At 38.3% G+C, this 21,683-nt stretch overlaps 1 long non-coding RNA gene across 2 annotated transcripts in view; it reads left to right on the forward strand.

The window, feature by feature from the left end:
* The first annotated feature begins 469 nt into the window (after window positions 1-469).
* The window catches only part of LOC105371953 (uncharacterized), a 155,413-nt gene continuing 134,199 nt past the window's right edge, over window positions 470-21,683 (forward strand). For both annotated transcript variants that reach the window (XR_001753318.2, XR_007066436.1), the window contains exon 1: window positions 470-812. This is a non-coding gene — a long non-coding RNA (uncharacterized LOC105371953). The remainder of the gene's footprint in view (window positions 813-21,683) is intronic.

Genomic DNA, 21,683 nt, shown 5'->3' on the forward strand with positions numbered 1-21,683 from the left:
GGCCCCAGCCTCCCCGACGAGCGCCGCTCCCCGCTCCACAGCGCCCGGTCCCATCCACTGCCCAAGGGCTGAGGAGTGCGGGCGCAGGGCACGGGACCGGCAGGCAGCTCCACCTGTGGCCCCTGTGCGGGATCCACTGGGTGAAGCCAGCTGGGCTCCTGAGTCTGGTGGGGACTTGGAGAATCTTTATGTCTAGCTAAGGGATTGTGAATGCACCAATCAGCACTCAGTGTCTAGCTCAGGGTTTGTAAATACACCAATAGACACTGTGTCTAGCTAATCTAGTGGGGACGTGGAGAACTTTTGTGTCTTGCTTAGGGATTGTAAACACACCAATCAGCACCCTGTCAAAACAGAGCAATCAGCTCTCTGTAAAACAGACCAATCGGCTCTCTGTAAAATGGACCAATCAGCAGGATGTGGGTGGGGCCAGATAAGACAATAAAAGCAGGCTGCCCGAGCCAGCAGTGGCAACTCGGTCTGGTCCCCTTCCAGAGTGTGGGAGCTTAGTTCTTTCGGTCTTTGCAATAAATCTTGCTGCTGCTTACTCTTTGGGTCCACACCGCCTTTATGAGCTGTAACACTCACTGTGAAGGTCTGCAGCTTCACTCCTGAGCCAGTGAGACCACGAACCCACCAGAAGGAAGAAACTCTGAACACATCCGAACATCAGAAGGAACAAACTCTGGACGCGCCGCCTTTTTAAGAACTGTAACACTCACTGTGAGGGTCCGCGGCTTCAGTCTTGAAGTCAGTGAGACCAAGAACCCACCGATTCCGGACACACTTTCAGAATGTGACGAGGACCTGAGGTAGAGTTGTGACTGTGGGGATGAGCAGAAGGGAGAGTTTTGAGAGACTGAGAATTAGAATAAAGTTTTATGACCCATGGGAGGTGGACGATGAGGAAGAGAAATGTAGAATAAAGTAGGTTTTCTGTCTTGGTGACTGGAAAGATTGAAAGTATGATTTAAAATAATCCATGGCTTCAGGGTTTAGTGAAGTAAGCATGGCCTGTTTTTCTCTTTTTGAAAGTAGTGGGGAAAATGGAGACAAAGGATTTCAGTTTGGATACGTTGACTATTAGGCGGCTGAAGGCTCTATGCCAATGTGGAGGTAATGAGAATTCTCTGGGCTGGAAATGCAAATCTGAGAGATATCAGTACGTAGATGGCAGTTGAAGCCCGTAAGATGTTTTTTCTTGCTCTTCTCTTCTCAATGCGAACATCTCACACATTGTGTTTCAGCTGAAAAGTTACTTCCCCCAGCAGGCTTTCTCTCATCCCAGAGTAGATTAGGTGCTCTCCTCACATACGGAGCTGAGCCTTATGAATACTCAGCACTCTCCTTAAATGTTTGTCTTCCCAGCAGCGACAGTGAGGGCAGGGACTGTCCCTTCTGGGTATCCAATGTCTAGCAGACTGCTTGACACACGGGAGACTAACATATATTAAGTAATACATGTTGATTGATTGATTGAAGAAATCAATGAAAAAGATTGTCCAGGGAAAATGAGTGCAGTGAAAGGAAAAACTCTCAGTGTCAAATTGGGAGGGAGATTAAATAAGATGGTCTTTTAAAGTGTCTTTTAAGAGGAAATTTCTGATCTTTATCACTAATGTTTGTTGTATTTCCTTTTGACCTTTTTATTGGTGTGTAGTTAAACTCAACATAGTTATTCCAAATTATACAAAATGCATTATTTGCCACTTAATATTTTAACGAGCATTTTTCTCATTGTTGAAATGCCTCTATTTTTAATTTAGGTTTTCTTTTATTTTTATAGGTTAGGCGGTAATTTTGTAGGCCTTTTTTGCTATATAGCAGTGAATTTTATTCATACAGGGATGGTTTCAGAATTACCATCACCTTGTCCTTACACACTTGCTCCTTCACATGTGCAGAGTCATCTAACGATGTGACGTTACATATAAGATTCAGATGTCAACATTTTGGAGCCCATCATAAGGTGGAAGAGACAGACATGCACACAATTAATTAAAAGAGAGAATAAAAAGAATTCTAACAGTAGTCTATTCTAAGTACTATGAGTCTAAAGTGAGGGAACGCCCTATTCATTTTTGCTAAAGCTAGATGCCTGCCATCAGGATGATATTTTAAAAATTAAAGGCAGGTATGTCTTTTTTACATAATATAACATTTATTTTTGAATGGGTAATGATCTTTTTTGTTAATGCCCTTAACTGTAAGCTTCAGACCATATGTTTTCTTACCCTTGTGCTTACAAGGAAGGGAAACTGGGATTTATTAATGAATTGTGATGTGCCTGGTGCTGTACTAAGTGAAATTATTCATATCATTTACTTTTTAAATGTAAGTGTAGACTCATGTATGTTTATTTTCTGTTAATACTTTGGGTTATAAATTAGTACTACATTATTTATTTTGTTGCTTAAATTTTTCTGGCTTTGGCCATTCAGGGTTCTTTCAGGTTGGCTCCAGAGTCTCCTTGACATGCCCCCAGCCTTTTTTTTTTTTTTTTTAATCTATTCTAGATGTATTAAAGGCTTTATTTTTTATTTTTATTTCTACATTATCTATTTTTTTAAAATTAATTAATTTATTATTATTATACTTTAAATTTTAGGGTACATGTGCACAATGTGCCGGTTAGTTACATATGTATACATGTGCCATGCTGGTGCGCTGCACCCACTAACTCGTCATCTAGCATTAGGTATATCTCCCAGTGCTATCCCTCCCCCCTCACCCCACCCCACAACAGTCCCCAGAGTGTGATGTTCCCCGTCCTGTGTCCATGTGTTCTCATTGTTCAATTCCCACCTATGAGTGAGAATATGCGGTGTTTGGTTTTTTGTCCTTGCGATATTTTGCTGAGAATTATGGTTTCCAATTTCATCCATGTCCCTACAAAGGACATGAACTCATCATTTTTTATGGCTGCATAGTATTCCATGGTGTATATGTGCCACATTTTCTTAATCCAGTCTATCATTGTTGGACATTTGGGTTGGTTCCAAGTCTTTGCTATTGTGAATAATGCCTCAATAAACATACGTGTGCATGTGTCTTTATAGCAGCATGATTTATAGTCCCTTGGGTATATACCCAGTAATGGGATGGCTGGGTCAAATGGCAGAGACACAACCAAAAAAGAGAATTTTAGACATGCCCCCATCCTTTTTTCGTTTGTTTGTTTTGTTTTTGTTTAATTCAACTTTTATTTTAGATTAATGGTGTACACAGGCAGGTTTGTTATTTGTGTATATTGCATGATGTTGAGGTTTGGGGTACAAATGATCCTATCACTCAGATACTGAGCATGGTACCCAACAGTTAGTTTTCAACTTTTACTCCCATCCCAACCTTCCCCCCAGTCCCCAGTGTCTATTGTTGCCATCTTTATTTCCATGAGTACCCAATGTTTAGCTTCCACTTATAAGTGAGAACATGCAGTATTTGGTTTTCTGTTCCTGCATTAATTCACCTAAGTTAGTGGCTCCAGCTGCATCCGTATTGCTACAAAGGACATGGTTTCATTCTTTTTTATGGCTGTGTAGTATTTCATGGTGTATGTGTAGCACATTTTCTTTATCCAATCTACCACTGATGAAAACCTAGGCTGATTCCATGACTTTGCTATGGTGAATAGCACTGTGATAAACATGTGAGTGCCTGTGTCTTTTTGGTAGAAAAATTTGTTTTCTTTTGGATATATACCCCATAATGGGATTGCTGGGTTAGATGGTAATTTTGTTTTAACTTCTTTGAGAAATCTCCAAACCGCTTTCCACAGAGGCTGAACTAATTTACATTCCCACCAACAGTGTATAAGCATTCCCTTTTCTTTGCAGCCTCACCAGCATCTGTTTTTCGACTTTTTAATCATAGCCATACTGACTGGTGTGAGATAGTATCTCATTATGGTTCTGATTTGTATTTCTCTGATGATTAGTGATGCTGAGCACTTTATTTATATATTTGTTGTTGTCCATTTGTATGTCTTTTGAGAAGCATCTGTTCATGTCTTTTGTCCATTTTTAATGGGGTTGTATTTCTAGTTCTAGATCCCTGAGGAATTGCCACACTGGCTTCCACAATGGTTGAACTAGTTTACAGTCCCACCAACAGTGTAAAAGTGTTCCTATTTCTCCACATCCTCTCCAGCACCTGTTGTTTCCTGACTTTTTAATGATTGCCATTTTAACTGGTGTGAAATGGTATCTCATTGTGGTTTTGATTTGCATTTCTCTGATGGCCAGTGATGGTGAGCATTTTTTCATGTGTTTTTTGGCTGCATAAATGTCTTCTTTTGAGAAGTGTTGTTTTCTTATTCAATTGTTAAAGTTCCTTTTAGATTCTGGATATTAGACCTTTGTTAGATGCTTATCATGAATTACGTTGACCAATTGCTTTTCTCCCAACACTTAGCTGAATAGGGTCTCTAAGGCAAAAAGGGAATAAAGAAGTAGCTCAAAGGGGACATTTTGGAAGCTGGGGTAGAGGGCATGTTGTGGAGCAAGCATCAGATGGCGCTGTTGGCTGTGAAGAGGGATGTGGGGGCCTGGGAATTCCAGCTGCAGAGGCTGGAGGGGAGTGCCAGGAGGAGGGTATCTTGAGGCCAACAGCACCCCTCCTTTGTAACATCCCCTGGTGTCAACTGACAGCATAGTGATTCTTAAAGAAAACTAGGACCTTGAAAGGTGACTTGTAGATGTAGAACATCCATACATACTATGTTCGTGTCCAATGAAGCTGTTAATTTTTCCATGCCAATGTTAAAATGATATGACATAGAAAATGGCACTTGTAGATAACCTCATACTTTCTGTTTATGAATAGTTTTACCCTCTTCCTCTCCTCTCCTCACTAAGTCTTTTCCCAGATCTGTTACATGAGATAAAAACAGCTGACTTGTGTCCCAATTCTCTTTAAATGTCTTGTGGCAGCAGTAATGAGAGATAATGAACACCCCAAACTGTTTCCAATTAAAGGAAGGAAGAATATGATAGCACTTGAGTCGTGTTCTTCAGTTGTTTTTCATATGTACATCTGATCTTCTCAACCAAGGTAGTGGTTTCTTTTTCTGTCTCTCACTGAGCATGTCACCGGAGTGCTGTGTATAGAGTAAGGCCTTAATAAATATGTGTTCAGTTGACAGGAGCAGGAGCCAGGGGCTAAGCTGATCTCACAGTATAATGTCAGCTTCTGAATAATTGAGCATGGTCTGTGTGATTAATGTATTTATGTATTCAGCTGGTATTAGCAATATCCTCCCTGCCACTTTCCTGCCTGTGTCTGTCATCTGTCAGCCATGCATTTGTAGAAAGACTCTATAATGGGTGCTTGTTAATAAAACAAGCAGGAGAAGGCTTGTGCTGAAATAAAGGTGTTAGGGAGTTATTGATTTGAAAATATTTAAACAATTCATGTAAATGTTCTGCTTCATATGTATACATGGAATGTATATATAGACCATCAACAGTTTCTCAGTATCAACAGCTGAGATTTAAAAATGATATCCTTATGAGATGGTAAATTGACCAGAAACTATATCAGCCAAGGCTAGCTTTTGTTGCTGTTGTTATGTTTCTTAGGAATGTAACACACAGTTAGTAAAAAAAAAAAAGGTCTCCATTCAAGGTCATAAATGATGTCTTATTTAATGGAAATGCATTGTGAAAAGCAATAAGCAATGATTTCCTGTTAACTACAATGATCCCAGCTGGAAAACATCACTAGAAGAAATTATAAGTAACTCTTCTTTAGTTACTAGGAAGAGAGACAAAACATTTTCTTGGATGACTGTTCTGTATTTTTCAATCCCAGGAGGTGGAAGCAGGGGTACAGCCAATTAGGATTATTCAGTTTTTTACATGCACACTAATATAGAAAGAATCTTGTTGGTCAGATCCACTTAGATTTAGCTAGATTATGTACAACAATACCTAACAAGATACTCAAGGCAGCACGTTTTAGCAAAAGGGTTTGTATGAGAATTGCTTGATTCACACGCATTGTGGAGGATAAGTAATGTTTATGAAGCAGATATAGTAATCTGTGCTTACACTGTGAGCTTTTTAAACCACATCTAGAAATTTGGCATCTGTCCACTGGCCAGAAGTAGTTAGTCATCCCTAATGGAGCCCATGTCGTTTTGTTGGTGCAGTTCTCTGGGGTTCTACTTGATCCTGATTTCTGGATCCATTCCACAATGTCTTGATCTATTTCTTCTGAAATGCTGGCTGCTGGACTCTAGAGAATTGTGGTTCTTGTTGCTAGGAAAATTGTCGGGATTTTAATATTCTCACTGTGGGTTCTTTTGGGTCAAGTCCTTACTGCTACAGGCCTTGCTAAACCCACCCTTCTAGGTTTATTGTGGGGGCTGTCCTTGCCTTTGCTGGTGTCTTTCTCTACTCCATCCTCAGCTATCTGGAGAGTCTTCTATTCATGCACTTGTGGAATAGAAGGGGTAATATTTAATTCTTCTGTAAAAGAAATTTTTTTTGCAGAGAAAGATTTGCCGGAAATATCAAACGGAAGACTAGCTCCTTCAGAAAATATTTCTGACTTAGTCTGAGATCTGGGAACAGGGACTCCTAGATTTCTTTACTTTCGCACATTCATAATCATAGCTATACTATGCTACTAGGATCAAAGGACCTTTCACCAATCCTGTCAGTCGAGCTACTTAATGTGTGAGTTAAACTTTCTAATAAGATATATTTTATTCAACCTTGTTCATTCATTCAATTTTAGGGTTACAGTTCTAAAAGCTTCCCCTTTTTGTGACTCCTAGCTCCTGCAATTTCACCATTCAACTCAATGTTGGACCAAGATGGACGCCTGACTCAAAGGCACTAAATGCATTCACTGGCTAACAGACAGTCAGATTCTTTTTCTGGGAACTTAAGGGATTCAGAAGAATCATTTGGTAGTGACCAGTGGCTGTAAATATAGCTACAAAGACTTCACGCTAGTGGTTATGTTGGAACTTTGGTTGGCTTAGCATTGGTCAGATTCCAACTGCAATAAAATGACCCAGAGAGTCTGGTACTATGATTGGTACAGTAAGCGATTCATTTTTCCACCAGAAATAGGGAATAGAAAACAACAATAAATGTCACCGCACACTTGCTACTATTAGAGAATTTGATGTATTATTTACCTGTCTATTTACTGACTTTTCTTCCCTGTGTTAACAGTTGTAAGTCAAAGAGGCTAAGGTTATTTGAGTAAGTAACCTGAGTTTTTTAGATGCAAGAATCATGTACCCATTTCTAGAAAAATGACAAAGAAGTCTCAAGGTAGGCTAGTTTTGCAATATGCTTAAATTGAAACTGGACAGCCACCTAGCATTATAAAGCAATTTTGCTAAGCTCATCTATCGCTTGAGAGAAATGAGCTGCAGGATAATGAAAAAACACTGGGAGTCTTTGAAACAGCAGAGCATAGTTCTTTGGAAAAGGAACACCAGGTCAGTTTGGAAGAACGTCTTGGGTAGATCATCACTTTCATTTGATATCTAAATAGTAGTGCTGGCGGTCCTGTTCCTCAGGGCAGAAGGTAAATGCCTGAGGAATGGAAGGCTTCTATTCCCCTAAGAATGTGAAGACTTTATTCCTAGAGGCTGTGAACTTAAGTACAGTTAAATTAAATGGAGACAATAAAACTTAAGCCAAATGGGACAGTCTCAAAAGGAAGAAATCTATTTTATGGGGGAAAATAATGGCTACCATTTATTGTGTGCCAGTATGTGCTGAGAATGGTATTAGGCAACTTTAGATTATTTCTATCCTCACAGTAAATATGCAACATAGGTACTATTATGTCTATTTTACAGACAAGGAAATTAAGGCTTAGAGAGATTGTCTCATTATTTTTGCTAGTAAATGGAATGAAAACCCAGGCCTTTTGATTCCAATGAGAGTCCTGAAAGAACCTCACTTTGTTAGGCTCTGGAGGATTTCTTGTATTTTGCAGTAAAATACAGAACAGAAGATAGGTCATCTGTACTTTATTTTTGGATAAACGGGAAAGTATGTAACTGGGTCCTTAAATATATCCTAAAACAAACAATAACAAACAAACTAACCAACAAAAATACCATTTCTTGACTAACCTTCCTAACAGCTGATTTCATTATGCTTCAATCAAAAGCATTCACTGAGTCAGTCACCTATTGGAGGAAGTCTATACTATTTAGATTGGCATTCAAAATCCTTGGCCTGAGTGACCTCTGAAATTCCCAATATGGTCCCGTCCCGTCCCATCCCATCCCATCCCATCCCACCCTACCCTACCCCACCCCACCCCACCCCACCCCACCCCACCCCACCCCATCCCATCCCATCCTGGTTTTCTAGATGCTTCACTAGAAAACCACTGCATTCAGATCTGTTTTTCTGCTTTTTCTGTTTTCTATTTCTTACCACCACCAGCCATCACCACAGCTTCCACTGCCATCTTTGTGAAACATTCCTCATTTGCTTCATTCTTGCCCAAGCTGGTATGGCTATTCAGTGGCACAGCTAGTATTTAAGTCCAATTTCATCTGATCCCGAAGTCTGTTCTTTCTGCTCTGTTTCAGGAGCTCTGCTTTTATTAAAGGATGCTGTTGAATTTTCTCTTGGATGATAGATATAGGTTTTGGTTACCTGTTTTTATTTCCAGCACTTTCTACTGTTAAATTCTGATATGTTTTCTTCCAAGTGAGAGAAATAGTTTCCACCTACTGTCATGCCTAGCAGGGAGATTTCCTCAGGATTTTTGGATGGAGCTTAGAAGTAAAATTACTCTAAAAATATTAATTTGAGCCATTGGGGTAAGAGTAGTTCTAACGCAGGAGTCATATAAATGAAAGATATTTGCAAGTCTTATAGAAATAAAAATTTCTTACCTGCCTAAGTTAAAGAAAGTGAAGTTTAAGTTATACAAGCATACTAGTGGCTTTAAGTGATGTCTTATGTCAAGAACAACTTTTACTGTTTATGAGATTAGATAAGAAGCACTTGGAGTCAGAAAAACTTTTGTTTACACTCAAGTTTCTATTTATTTGTGTAATTCTGGAACAATTATCTCTGAGCTTCAATTTCCTGATTTTTAAGGTGGGGATAATATAACTAAGTAAGGTTCAAATGAAAATTCATGTGGAGCACATTGTGATTCATAAAACACAATACAAATATAAGGTGTAGTAATTATTATTGCTAGGAGATTTGAGAGAGAATGTATGAGTCTATCTGAATACAACTCACTTGCATAAAAAGTTTGACTGATTATCACACCCCTAAGGAATTATTACTGTCAGTTTTGTTTGAACAATTACTGACTGATCAAGGAAAAATTATGAATCAATTTCAATAATACACATTATTATTAGCTTTCCCAAACTAATTTAGAGCACAGAGGTCCCTCAGTGTTCAGAACTCATAACATTTATTGTTTATAACCATGGTTCACAAAATTTGACTACACCTCAAAATCACAGGAAGAAATTAAAAAGGAATCCTGGATTCCATGCTGAGATACTGTGGATCCATGTTTTTCTTTTTAACTACTTGATGATCCAATTTACTAACCTGGTTTGGCATATACCACTGGTATATGCAAATCTTTTGATAGCCAGTGATGGTTTATCTTAGACATGGTCATTTTTCATGTTTTAAAAATGTTCTCAGTTATGTTGTGAGCTTTGCGTCTCCACATAAAGTGGCTTGCACTGAGTAGTATTGCTGATGATGTTTACATAGGGAAAAGTACTGGATTCTTCACAGGCCGTTTGTACATCAATTATTTGAAGAGATAATAGCAAGTTTTTAATTATTCATGACACATACTTAGAAAACTTGGAACTTGAAGAAACTATAGAAATTATCTGGTTCATTTGTCTTTTTTTTTTTTTTTCCTGGATAAGGAAACTTAGGGCAAGAGAAGTTAAAAGGCTCATCTAAGGTGACCATACTTGTCATCCAGGACTAGAATTCCCAGATCTTGTCTTTTTCCTTGATTCATGGTAATTGTAGAAGGCATAATTAAAAGGCACAAATAGACAAATCCCTAATCTTAGAAGGACCTCGAGCTTCTCTTTTACTAGAATTCTTAATAAGTGGCAAAATGCACAGAGTACTTAAAATTTTTTTTCTCTTGAATAATATATAGTAGATAGCTATGCAAGCATCTTCAAAATTCAATAGTCAAGGAAAAATAATTGGAATCAGCAGTGTTCATACCTTCAATTTTTTTGTGTTTTTTTTTGGTTCTCCCATATATTACTCAGCATGGAAATTACTGCAGTATTAATCCCCTCTAATGTCATTAATGAGACCAGTTCCTACTAAAGTGAACAAATTGGGTATTAGATGCATAATAAAGACCACACACGGAAGCAAAAGAAAATCTCAACCTTTCTAAATAAAATAGTTGAGGTTTCATGAATCCATACATAGGAAGAAATTTCTCTTGTATAAATTTTTAAAAATAGACTAGTTATGTTTCAGGACTACATCTTCCTCTTAAAATGTGAAATTCCTTTTAGCATAAATGATCTGTTTCTTTGTTATTCTTACTAAACTCTTCATCTTTTAAGGCATGGATCACGTCATTTTTATATTTGACCTTCTAGTACCTACCTCATGGCTGACTGTCAAGAGATCATCTGTTGAAACAAACTGATGAGGGAAGAAAACAAAAACCTTGAGAGCTGGAGCTAAGCAATATTTTTTTTAACTTTAAAACTATTTTTATTTCCAGTAGTATCCTAATGAAAGTGTTTTTGTACTAAAATGTATTTAGAAGTTGGTTTGTTTTTTAAAATTAAACTAAATTTGATTTAACTTTTGACAATGAAAGACATAATGATCAAGATATGTCAATTGAAAGGTTAGAAATGAGATGATTTGAAAGAGGTTATATTGAAAAACCGGCTGCTAAGATAAAAATAACAATGAAGGGGCTAAAATTCACTCTTTTAATTATTGCAGGCATTGACCCAGGTGATGAGAATATAACCATGAACAAAAGAGTTCCAGTTCTATGTTCTCTCCAGGGAGAAGATAGAATATATATATATTCTATATACATATTCTCTATATATATTCTCTCTATATATTCTCTCTATATATTCTCTATATATATTCTATATATAGTGTATATATATTCTATATATTCTATATATATAGTGTGTATATATATAGTGTATATATATATACACACACACACAAACACATACTATCAGGTGGTAACTGTTAGGAGGAAAAAAGTGGAGTGAAGGGATAAATGACAATTAGGGAAGAGGGCCCATTAGGTAGGGTGGCCACAAGAACTTCTCTGAGGAAGTGATATTTAAATCAGTGAAACTGTGGTCACTCAACATGAGTAATTTTTGGGTTAATATATACAATTAAGTTTACTCATTATGATTTTGATATTATATAATAATATATACAGTTAAGTTTATTCTTTTTTAGGTATAGAATAATCAAATATTTTTAAAAGTGGAACATATTTTTATTTTAGATAAAATATTTAGAACATATTTATATTTTAGAGCTCACCTCTTTATTACAAATCCTCCCATTTTATAGGTGGGAGGTAACTGAGGTCTGCTTTAGACAAAGACTGCTCAGGTCACTTAACTTTTTGTTGACTGCTCACTAGAACCTGGTTTCCCAGTCCTCAGGCCAATGCTTTCTTCACAATATCAAGCTCTTCTCTCTCAGGTTTTGTATTGGAAACCTCTAAAGATCTGCATGATTTTGGCCCAAGAGGATGTAGGGAATAGGGGAGACAAAATTTAGTTCCTTTATAGAGACAACAAGAATAAATTATATCATGGACCAATTCTGTGTAGTTAAGCCTCAGCTGTGCTTTCTTAGCACAAATTGGTAGAGCAAGCTCTTTTTCTTACTGGATGTTTTCTTGAGCTGATGCCTAGTTACTAGTATCATGGAGCCCCTAAGTATTGAGGCCTTGAAAAATTCTCGTGATTTACTCTATTCTTACAGAATAGATGACTCTGCATCTCAGGCCATTCCTGTTTGCTTTTAGGTAACATCTGGCTGTTGATTTAAAAAAAAAAAAGGTATCATGAAACCCAGCAAGGTCAATCAGTCAACTAGAGGCTCAGCTTGTTCATATTATGTCAATTGTTTCTGCTTTAACCTTCAGATTTAAATGTAGTAGGACACAAGAATCTATGCTGACAGGATAAATCAGACATTTTCTTCTTCACAGTGTTACCAGTTTGCTTATATTTCTTCGAATGTCATCAATACCAACATATCATTGAAAGAAAAAAATTAATGAACTCAAATAGTTTTGGGGTCTTATTTGAAAGGTTTAAGTCAGTACTAATGGGATCTTGATGTTGTAGTTCTCGTCCACTACAGCGTCCACAAAAGCATAGTTTAACACCTTCACCTATCAGCTATTTGGTATCTGAGAACAATCTAGTAGGAGGAAGGACAAGGACTTGTCTTAAAGTTGTTTTTTCATCGCAAATATATTGTTTTATCTTAACCCTGTTCATTTATTTCACCTGGCTTGATGCTGTGTTTGCATAATAAGAATCCTATTTTTTTTGAAAAATGAATTGTCAGTATAGCAGAGTTGTTAACGTGGTTTCTAGTGCCACATTATGTCTGTTCAAATCCCAGTTCTATTTTATCCTAGAAGTTTGACCTTTGGCGAAATTTTTAAGTTCTCTTTGCCTCAGTTTTTTCATAATGGAGGCAATAGTAGCATTTATTTTGTGCAAATGTTATAGAAATACAAGGAGTCACTAAGTGTGAAGCATTTAGATCAGGGCCAATAGAAATATGCCTAATGAATATTGGAAATTTTTATTTTATCTGAGGTTGTTGATAAGCTTGTTGTGGGAGGAGAGTACTGAATGAAAGCTGCCAGTTTTAAGCTGTTTTCTCTGGCCACTGTCTGTGCAAATTTTTTGAAAATAAGTTTTACTTTGTATATCTAAAGCATACAACATGATGTTCTAAGATACATTACAGTAAAATGATTAGTGAAACAAATAAAGGTACCCATCATCTCACATAGTTACCCACTTTTTCCTGTCTGTGGCAAGAGCAGCTATAATCTACTCATTTAGCAAAAATCCTGAATAAGATACACTATTCATAACTATAATCCTCACATTGTACATTAGCTCTTTTGACTTGTTTCACCATGTTGGCCAGGCCGGTCTCGAATTCATGACCTCAAATGATCTGCTGCCTTGGTCTCCCAAAGTACTGGGATTGCAGGTGTGAGCCACTGCACCTGGCCAATATCATAATATAAATTATTTATTTTTATTTTTATTTATTTATTATTTATTTCTCTTGTCTTATTGCTCTGGCTAGGACTTCCAGTACTATGTTGAATGGAAGTGGTGAGTGAGGGCATCCTTGTCTTATTCCAGTTCTCAGGGGGAATGTTTTCAACTTTTCCCCATTCAGTATAATGTTGCCTGTGGGTTTGTCATAGATGGCTTTTATTATGTTAAGGTATGTCCCTGCTATGCTGATTTTGCTGAGGGTTTTAATCATAAAAGGATGCTGGATTTTGTCAAATGCTTTTTCTGTGTCTATTAAGGTGATAATGTGATTTTTATTTTTAATTCTATGTGGTGTATCACATTTATTAACTTGCATATGTTAAACTGTCCCTGCATCCCTGGTATGAAACCCACTTGCACATGGTGGATTACCTTTTTGATATGTTGTTGGATTTCATTGCTAGTATTTTTTTTGAGGATTTTTGCGTCTATGTTCATTAGGGATAGTGGTCTGTAGTTTTCTTTTTTTGTTGTGTCCTTTCCTGGTTTTGGTATTAGGGTGATACTTGCTTCACAGAATGATTTAGGGAATATTCCCTCTTTATCTTGTGGAATAATGTCAATAGGATTGGTACCTATTCTTCTTCGAATGTCTGATAGAATTCAGCTGTGAATCTGTCTGGTCCTGGACTTTTTTTTTTTTGTTAATTTTTAAATTACCATTTCAATCTCACTACTTGTTATTCGTCTGTTCAGGGTATCTAATTCTTCCTGATTTAAGCTAGGAGGGTTGTGTCTTTCCAGGAACGTATCCATCTTCTCTAGGTTTTCTAGTTTATGTGTGTAAAGGTGTTCATAGTGGCCTTGAATGATCGTTTGTATTCCTGTGGTGTCAGTTGTAATATCTCCCATTTCATTTCTAATTAAGCTTATTTGGATCTTCTCTCTTCTTTTCTTGGTTAATCTCACTAATGGTCTGTCAATTTATATATATATATATTTATTTTATTTTATTTTATTTTATTTATTTATTTATTTTTTTGAGACAGTCTCACTGTGTTGTCACCTAGGCTGGAGTGCGGTGGTGTGATCTGCACTCACCGTAACTTCCACTTCCCAGGTTCAAGCAATTCTCATTCCTCTGCCTCCCAAGTAGCTGGGATTACAGGTATGACCACCACACCTGGCTAATTTTTGTATTTTTAGTAGAGACGGGGTTTAGCCGTGGGTGGGAATGCTGTTCTTGAACTCCTGGCCTCAAGTGATCTACCTGCTTCAGTCTTCCAAAGTGCTGGGATTACAGGCATGGGCAACTGCTCCCGGCATTATTTATCTTTTCAAAGAACCAACTTTTTGTTTCCTTTATCTTTTGTATTTTTTTTTGTTTCCATTTCATTTAATTCTGCTCTGATCTTTTTTTATTTCTTTTTTTCTGCTGTGTTTGGGTTTGATTTTTTCTTGTTTCTCTAGTTCCTTGAGGTGTGACCTTAGATTGTCTATTTGTGGTCTTCCAGACTTTTTGATGCAGGCATTTAATGTTTTGAAGCTTCCTCTTAGCACCCCTTTTGCTGTATCCAGAGGTTTTGCTAGGTTGTGTCACTATTATCACTCAGTTCAAAGAATTTTTTAATTTCCATTTTGATTTTATTGTTGACCCAGTGATCACTTAGGAACAGGTTACTTAATGTCTATGTATTTGCATGGTTTTGGAGGTTCCTTTTGGAGTTGATTTCCAATTTTATTCCACTGTGGTCTGAGAGAGTACTTGATATAATTTAGATCTTCTTAAATTTGTTGAGACTTGTTTTATGGCCTATCATATATGATCTATCTTGGAGAATGTTCCATGCACTGATGAATAGAATGTATATTCTGCAGTTGTTGGGTACAGTGTTCTGTAAATATCTTACCAGTTTATTTGTTCTATAGTATAGTTTAAGTCCATTGTTTCTTTGTTGGCTTTCTGTCTTGATGACGTGTCTAGTACTGTCAGTGGACTATTGAAGTCCCCCACTATTATTTTGTTTCTGTCTATCTCATTTCTTAGATCTAAAAGTAATTGTTTTATACATTTGGGAGCTGCAGTGTTAGTTGCATGTATATTTAGGATTGTGATATTTTCCTGTTGGACAAGGCCTTTTTTCATTAAATAATGTCCCTCTTTGTTTTTTTTTTAACTGCTATTGCTTTAAAGTTTGTTTTGTCTGATATAAGAATAGCTACTTCTGCTCACTTTTGGTGTCCATTTGCATGGAATATCTTTTTCTATCCCTTTACCTTAAGTTTGTGTGAGCCCTTATGTGTTAGGTTAGTCTCTTGAAGACAGCAGAGACTTAGTTGGTGAATTCTTATCCATTCTGCCATTCTGTGTCTTTTTAGTGGAGCATTTCTGCCAATTTACATTCAACATTAGTATTCAGATGTCAGGAACTATTCTATTCATCATGCTATTTGTTGCCTGAATACCTTGGTTTTTATTGGGTTATTGTTTTATAGGTTCTGTGAGATTTATGCTTTAAGGAGGTTCTATTTTGGTATATATCAAGGATTTGTTTCAAGATTTAGAGCTCCTTTTAGTAGTTCTTGTAGTGCTGGCTTCGTAGTGTTGAATTCTGTCAGCATTTGTTTATCTGAAAAAGACTGTATCTTTCCTTTATTTATGAAGCTTAGTTTCACTGGATACAAAATTCTTGGTTGATAATTGTTTTTTTTAAGGAGGCTAAAGATAAGATGCCAGTCCCTTTTAGCTTGTGGGGTTCCTGCTGAGAAATCTGATGTTAATATGATAGGTTTTCTTTCATAGGTTACCTGATGCTTTTGCCTCACAGCTCTTAAGACTTTTTTCCTTCATCTTGACTTTAGATAACCTGATGACAATGTGCCTAAGCGATAATCTTTTTGCAATGAATTTCTCAGGTGTTCTTTGAGCTTCTTGTATTTGGATGTCTAGGTCTCTAGCAAGGCCAGGGAAGTTTTCCTTGATTAATCCCTCAAGTCTGTTTTCCAAACTTTTACATTACTCTTCTTCCTCAGGAACACCAATTATTCTTAGATTTGATCATTTAACATAATCCCAAACTTCTTGGAAGCTTTGTTCATTTATTTTAATTCTTTTTTTCTTTGTCTTTGTTGGATTAGGTTAATTTGAAAGTCTTGTCTTCAAGCTCTGAAGTTCTTTCTTCTACTTGTTTGGTTCTATTGCTGAGACTCTTCAGTGTATTTTGCATTTATTTAAGTTTGTCCTTTATTTCCAGAAGTTGTGATTGTTTTTTATTTAAGCTATCTATTTCTCCAGAGATTTTTCCATTCATATCCTGTAATACTTTATTTAAGTTGGACTTCAATATTTTCTGGTGCTTCCTTGGGTAGCTTAATAGTCATCTTCTGAATTCTTTTTCTGGCAATTCAGAAATTTCTTCCTGATTTGGATCCATTGCTGATGAGCTAGTATGATCTTTTGGGGATGTTAAAGAACCTTTTTTTGTCATATTAACAGAATTGTTTTTCTGGTTCCATCTCATTTTGTTAGAGTATGTCAGAGGGAAGATCTGGGGTTCAGGAGCTGCTGTTTAGAATCTTTTGTCCTACGAGGTGCTCCCTTGATGTGGTGCTCTCCCGTTTCCCACAGGGATGGGGCTTCCTGAGAGCTGAACTGCAGTGATTGTTATTTCTCTTCTGGATTTAGCCACCCAGTGGAGCTACTGGGTTGTGGGCTAGTACTGGGGAGTGTCTGCAAAGAGTCCTGTGATGCAATTTGTCTTCAGATCTCTCAGCCATGGATACTAGCACCTGCTGTGGTGGAGGTAGCAGGGGAGTGAAGTGGATTCTGTGAGAGTCCTTGGCATTTTTGTTTAGTGAGCTAGTTTTGGGTTGGTTGCCCTCCAGCCAGGAGGTGATGCCTTCAAGAGAGCATCAGCTTCAGTAGTGTAGGAGGATACAAGCTTGCCCTAGGGTCTCCTGGATAAGTATTTGGGTTTCTTAGGAGGTGGGCAAGGACATAGAGCTACCAAGAGATTATGTCCTTTTGTGTCCGGAATTGGTTCCTTCTGGTGGGTTCTTGGTCTCTCTGACTTCAAGCATGAAGCCATGGACCCTCGCGGTGAGTGTTACAGTTCTTAAGATGCTGTGTCCAGCGTTTATTCCTTTGGATATTCAGATGTGTCCAGAGTTTCTTCCTTCCAGTGGGTTTGTGGTCTCGCTGACTTCAGGAATGAAGCCACAGACCCTCGTAGTGAGTTTTACAGCTCATAAGGGTAGTGTTGACCCAAAGAGTGAGCAGCAGCAAGATTTATTGTGAAGAGCTAAAGAACAAAGCTTCCACAGTATGGAAGGGTACCTGAGCAGGTTGCTGCTGGTGGCTCGGGTGGCCAGCTTTTATTCCCTTATTTGGCCCCACCCACATCCTGCTGATTGGTCCATTTTACAGAGCACTGATTGGTCCATTTTACAGAGTGCTGATTGGTCTGTTTTTACAGAGTGCTGATTGGTGCATTTACAAAGCTTTAGCTAGACACAGAGTGCTGATTGGTGTGTTTACAATCCTTTAGGTAGACAGAAAAGTTCTCCAAGTCCCCACCCCACCCAGAAGCCCAGCTGGCTTCACCTCTCACTTTGTCTTCAGCTACTCGAGCAGGTAGAGACAGACCATCAGGTTTGGGGAGGGTTTGGTGTGTCTGAGCTCAGACTGTCCTTGGACAGGGCTTGCTGTGGCTGCTGTGGGGGATGAGGAGGTTGTTCTCCAGTCAATGGAGTTATGTTCCCAGGGGGATTATGGCTGCCTCTGCTGTGTCATACAGGTCATCAGGGAAACTGGGGAAAGCTGGCAGTTATAGGCCTCATCCAGCACCCATGCAGCCCAAAAGGCCAGTCTCACTCCTACCATGCCCCCCCAACAGCCCCGAGTTTATTTCCAGGCTGCCAATGAGCAGGGCTGAGAACTTGCCCCAGGCTATAAGCCTCCCCACTGAGAAAGCAAGCAGGGCTTTCAGGTTTCCTGCCTCCTTGCCTGCCACAGCTTCTGTCTTGTGTCTGCACTCCTGGTTCATCCCTCCTCCGGGTTCTGTCCCAGAAACTTTTTTTTTTTTTTTTTTTTTTTTGAGACGGAGTCTCGCTCTGTCGCCCAGGCTGGAGTGCAGTGGCGCGATCTCGGCTCACTGCAAGCTCCGCCTCCCAGGTTCACGCCATTCTCCTGCCTCAGCCTCCCGAGTAGCTGGGACTACAGGCGCCCGCTACCACGCCCGGCTAATTTTTTGTATTTTTAGTAGAGACGGGGTTTCACCGTGTTAGCCAGGATGGTCTCGATCTCCTGACCTCGTGATCCGCCCACCTCGGCCTGTCCCAGAAACTTTGCGTTAGGTTGAAGTTGTTACAAAGTTCAGCTGGAAGTTTTCTTCTCCCTGTGGCCTTTTCTCAATTCTACTGGCAGCCCTCCCCAAGGATCCCTGTGAGACAAAGTCAGGAGTGGCTTCCCTGGGGACTGAGAGTGCCCACAGGGCTCTTTCTGCTACTTTTTCTGCCCCTATATTTTGCTTGGCTCTATAAATTTATCTGAGCTCCAGGTAAGGTCAAATCCTCCAGTGATCTGGACCTTCAGATTCCCCAGTGAGGATGTGTGTTCAGGGGGAGAGGATCCCCTTTCGCACTTTCACACTTTGAGTACACAGTTTTTCAGCTGTGTCTGGGAGCTTGCAACAGCAATCTGCTTCCTTCAAACGGTCTGTGCATTCTCTCAGCTCTCCTGTATGTTCCCACAGGAGTTCTTGGAGCAAAAGTTCATGATGTGAGTTTCTACACATTGCTCTGTCCATCCACGTGGGAGCTGCAAGTTAGTCCTGCTCCTATCTGCCATTTTCTCTGGTATTGTGTTAATTACTGTAAAATGTTCTAATAAGATAGAGAGATGATTTTAAATAAGTTTTACCTGAACGTGGGATACGGAAAACTTCATGGATTTTAATAGTTTTCAGAAGTGCTACAAGTTATTGGAAAAACTTGTTTGGTAAAATGTCCTTTTTTCAAAAAAAAAACAAATTAATTTTTAAAATAATTTAAACTTTTATTTTAGATTCAAGGGATACACGCACAGATTTGTAACCAGAATACATTGCGTGATACTCTGGTTTGGGGTACAAATGATCTTGTCACCAGATAATGAGCATAGTGCCCAACAGTCAGTCTTTCATCCCTTACCCCACTCCATCTCTCCCTCCCCCATCTAGTAGTCCCCAGTGTCCGTTGTTGGCATCTGTATATCCATGAGTACCCATTATTTAGTTCCCACTTATAAGTGAGAACATGCAATATTTGGTTTTCTGTTCCTGTGTTAATTTGCTTAGGATAATGACCTCCAGCTGCATCCATGCTGCTACAAAGGACAAGATTTTGTTCTTTTTTTTTTTTTAATTGCTGGGTATTATTCCCTGGTGTATATTATATCACATTTTCTTTATCCAGGCTACCACTGATGGGCATGGGCACCTAGGTTGATTTCATTTCTTTGCTCTTATGAGTGGTGCTGCGATGAACATGCAAGTGCATGTGTGTTTATGGTAGAACGATTTGTTTTCTTTTGGATGTATACCCAGTAATGGTATTGTTGGGTTGGATGGTAGTTCTAACTTCTTTGAGAAATCTCCAAACTGCTTTCCACAGTAGCAGAACTAATTTACATCCCCACCAAAAGTGTATAAGTGTTCTCTTTTCTCTTCAGCCTTGCCAGCACCTGCTTTTTGATTTCTTAATAATAGCCATTCTGAGATGGTATCTTATTGTGGTTTTGATTTGCATTTCTCTGATGATTAGTGATATGGAGCATTTATTCATATATTTGTTGGCAACTTGTATGTCTTTGTCCATTGATATCTTTTGCCCATTTTAAAATAGGGTTATTTGTTTTTGGCTTGTTAAATTGTTTTAGTTCTTTATAGAGTCTGGATATTAGACCTTTGCCAGATACACAGTTTGCAAATGTTTTCTCCCATTCTGTAGGTTGTCTGTTTACTCTGTTGATAGTTATTTTTGCTATGCAGAGAAACTAAGCTCTTTAGTTTAATTAGGTACCATTTATCAACATTTGTTTTTGTTGCAGTTGCTTTTGAGGACTTATAAATTTTTTCCCAAGGTCATTGTCCACAATGGTGTTTCCCAGGTTTTCTATTAGGACCATTTTAGTTTGAGATCTTACATTTAAATATTTAATTCATCTTAAGTTAATTTTTGTATATGGTGAAAGGTAGGAATCCAGTTTCATTCTTCTGTATGTAGTGAGCTAGCTATCCAAGCACTGTTTATTGAATAGGGAGTCTTTTCCACATTGTTTGTTTTTGTTGACTTTGCCAAAGATCAGATTGATGCAGGTGTGCTGCTTTATTTCTGGGTTCTCTAGTCTATTCCATTGATCTACGTGTCTGTTTTTGTACCAGTACCATGCTGTTTTGGTTACAGTAGCCTTATGATATAATTTGAAGTCAAGGAATGTGGTGTCTGACTTTGTTCTTTTTCCTTTCTTTTTTTTTTTTTTTTTTTTTTGAGGCAGAGTCTTGCTATGTCACCCAGGCTGGAATGCAGTGGCACAATCTCAGCTTGCTGCACCCTCTGCCTCCTGGGTTCCAGTGATTCTTGTGCCTGAGCCTCCCAAGGAGCTGGGACTACAGGTGTGTGCCACCACAACTGGCTAATTTTTGTATTTTTAGTAGAGATGGGGTTTCTCCATGTTGCCCAGGCTGGTCCCGAACTCCTGGCCTCAAGTGATCCACCGACCTCAGCCTCCCAAAATGTTGGGATTACAGGTGTGAGCCACTGTGCCTGGCCAGGTTTTGTTCTTTCTGCTTAGGACTGTTTTGACTATTTGGGCACCTTTCTGGATCCATATGAATTTTAGAGTGTTTTTTTCTAGTTCTATGAAAAATATTGGTAGTTTGACAGGAATAGCATTGATTCTGTAGATTGCTTTGGGCAGTATGGCCATTTTTAACAATACAAATTATTCTAACCCATAAGCATGGAATGTTTTTCTTTTTTTGTGTGTGTCATCTCATTTCTTTCAGCAGTGTTTTGTAGCTCACCTTGTAGAGCTCTTTCACCTCCTTAGTTAGATATATTTGTAAATATTTTTTTTTGTGGCTGTTACGAGACTACATTCTTTACTTGGCTCTCAGCTTCAATGTTATTGGTGTATAGAAATGCTACTGATTTTTGTACATTTATTTTGTATCTTGAAACTTTACTGAAGTTGTTTATCATTTCCAGGAGCGTTTTGGCAGAGTATTTAGGATTTTCTAGGTATAGAACCATATTGTCTGTGAAGAGAGATAGTTTTGCTTCTTTTCTTCCTATTGGGATGCCTTTTATTTATTTCTCTTGCCTGATTGATTTGGCTAGGACTTCCAGTACTATATTGAAAAGGAGTGGTGAGAGTGGGCATCCT

Source organism: Homo sapiens, chromosome 18 (assembly GCF_000001405.40).
Source record: "Homo sapiens chromosome 18, GRCh38.p14 Primary Assembly".
In the NCBI taxonomy this organism is placed as follows: Eukaryota; Metazoa; Chordata; class Mammalia; order Primates; family Hominidae; genus Homo; species Homo sapiens.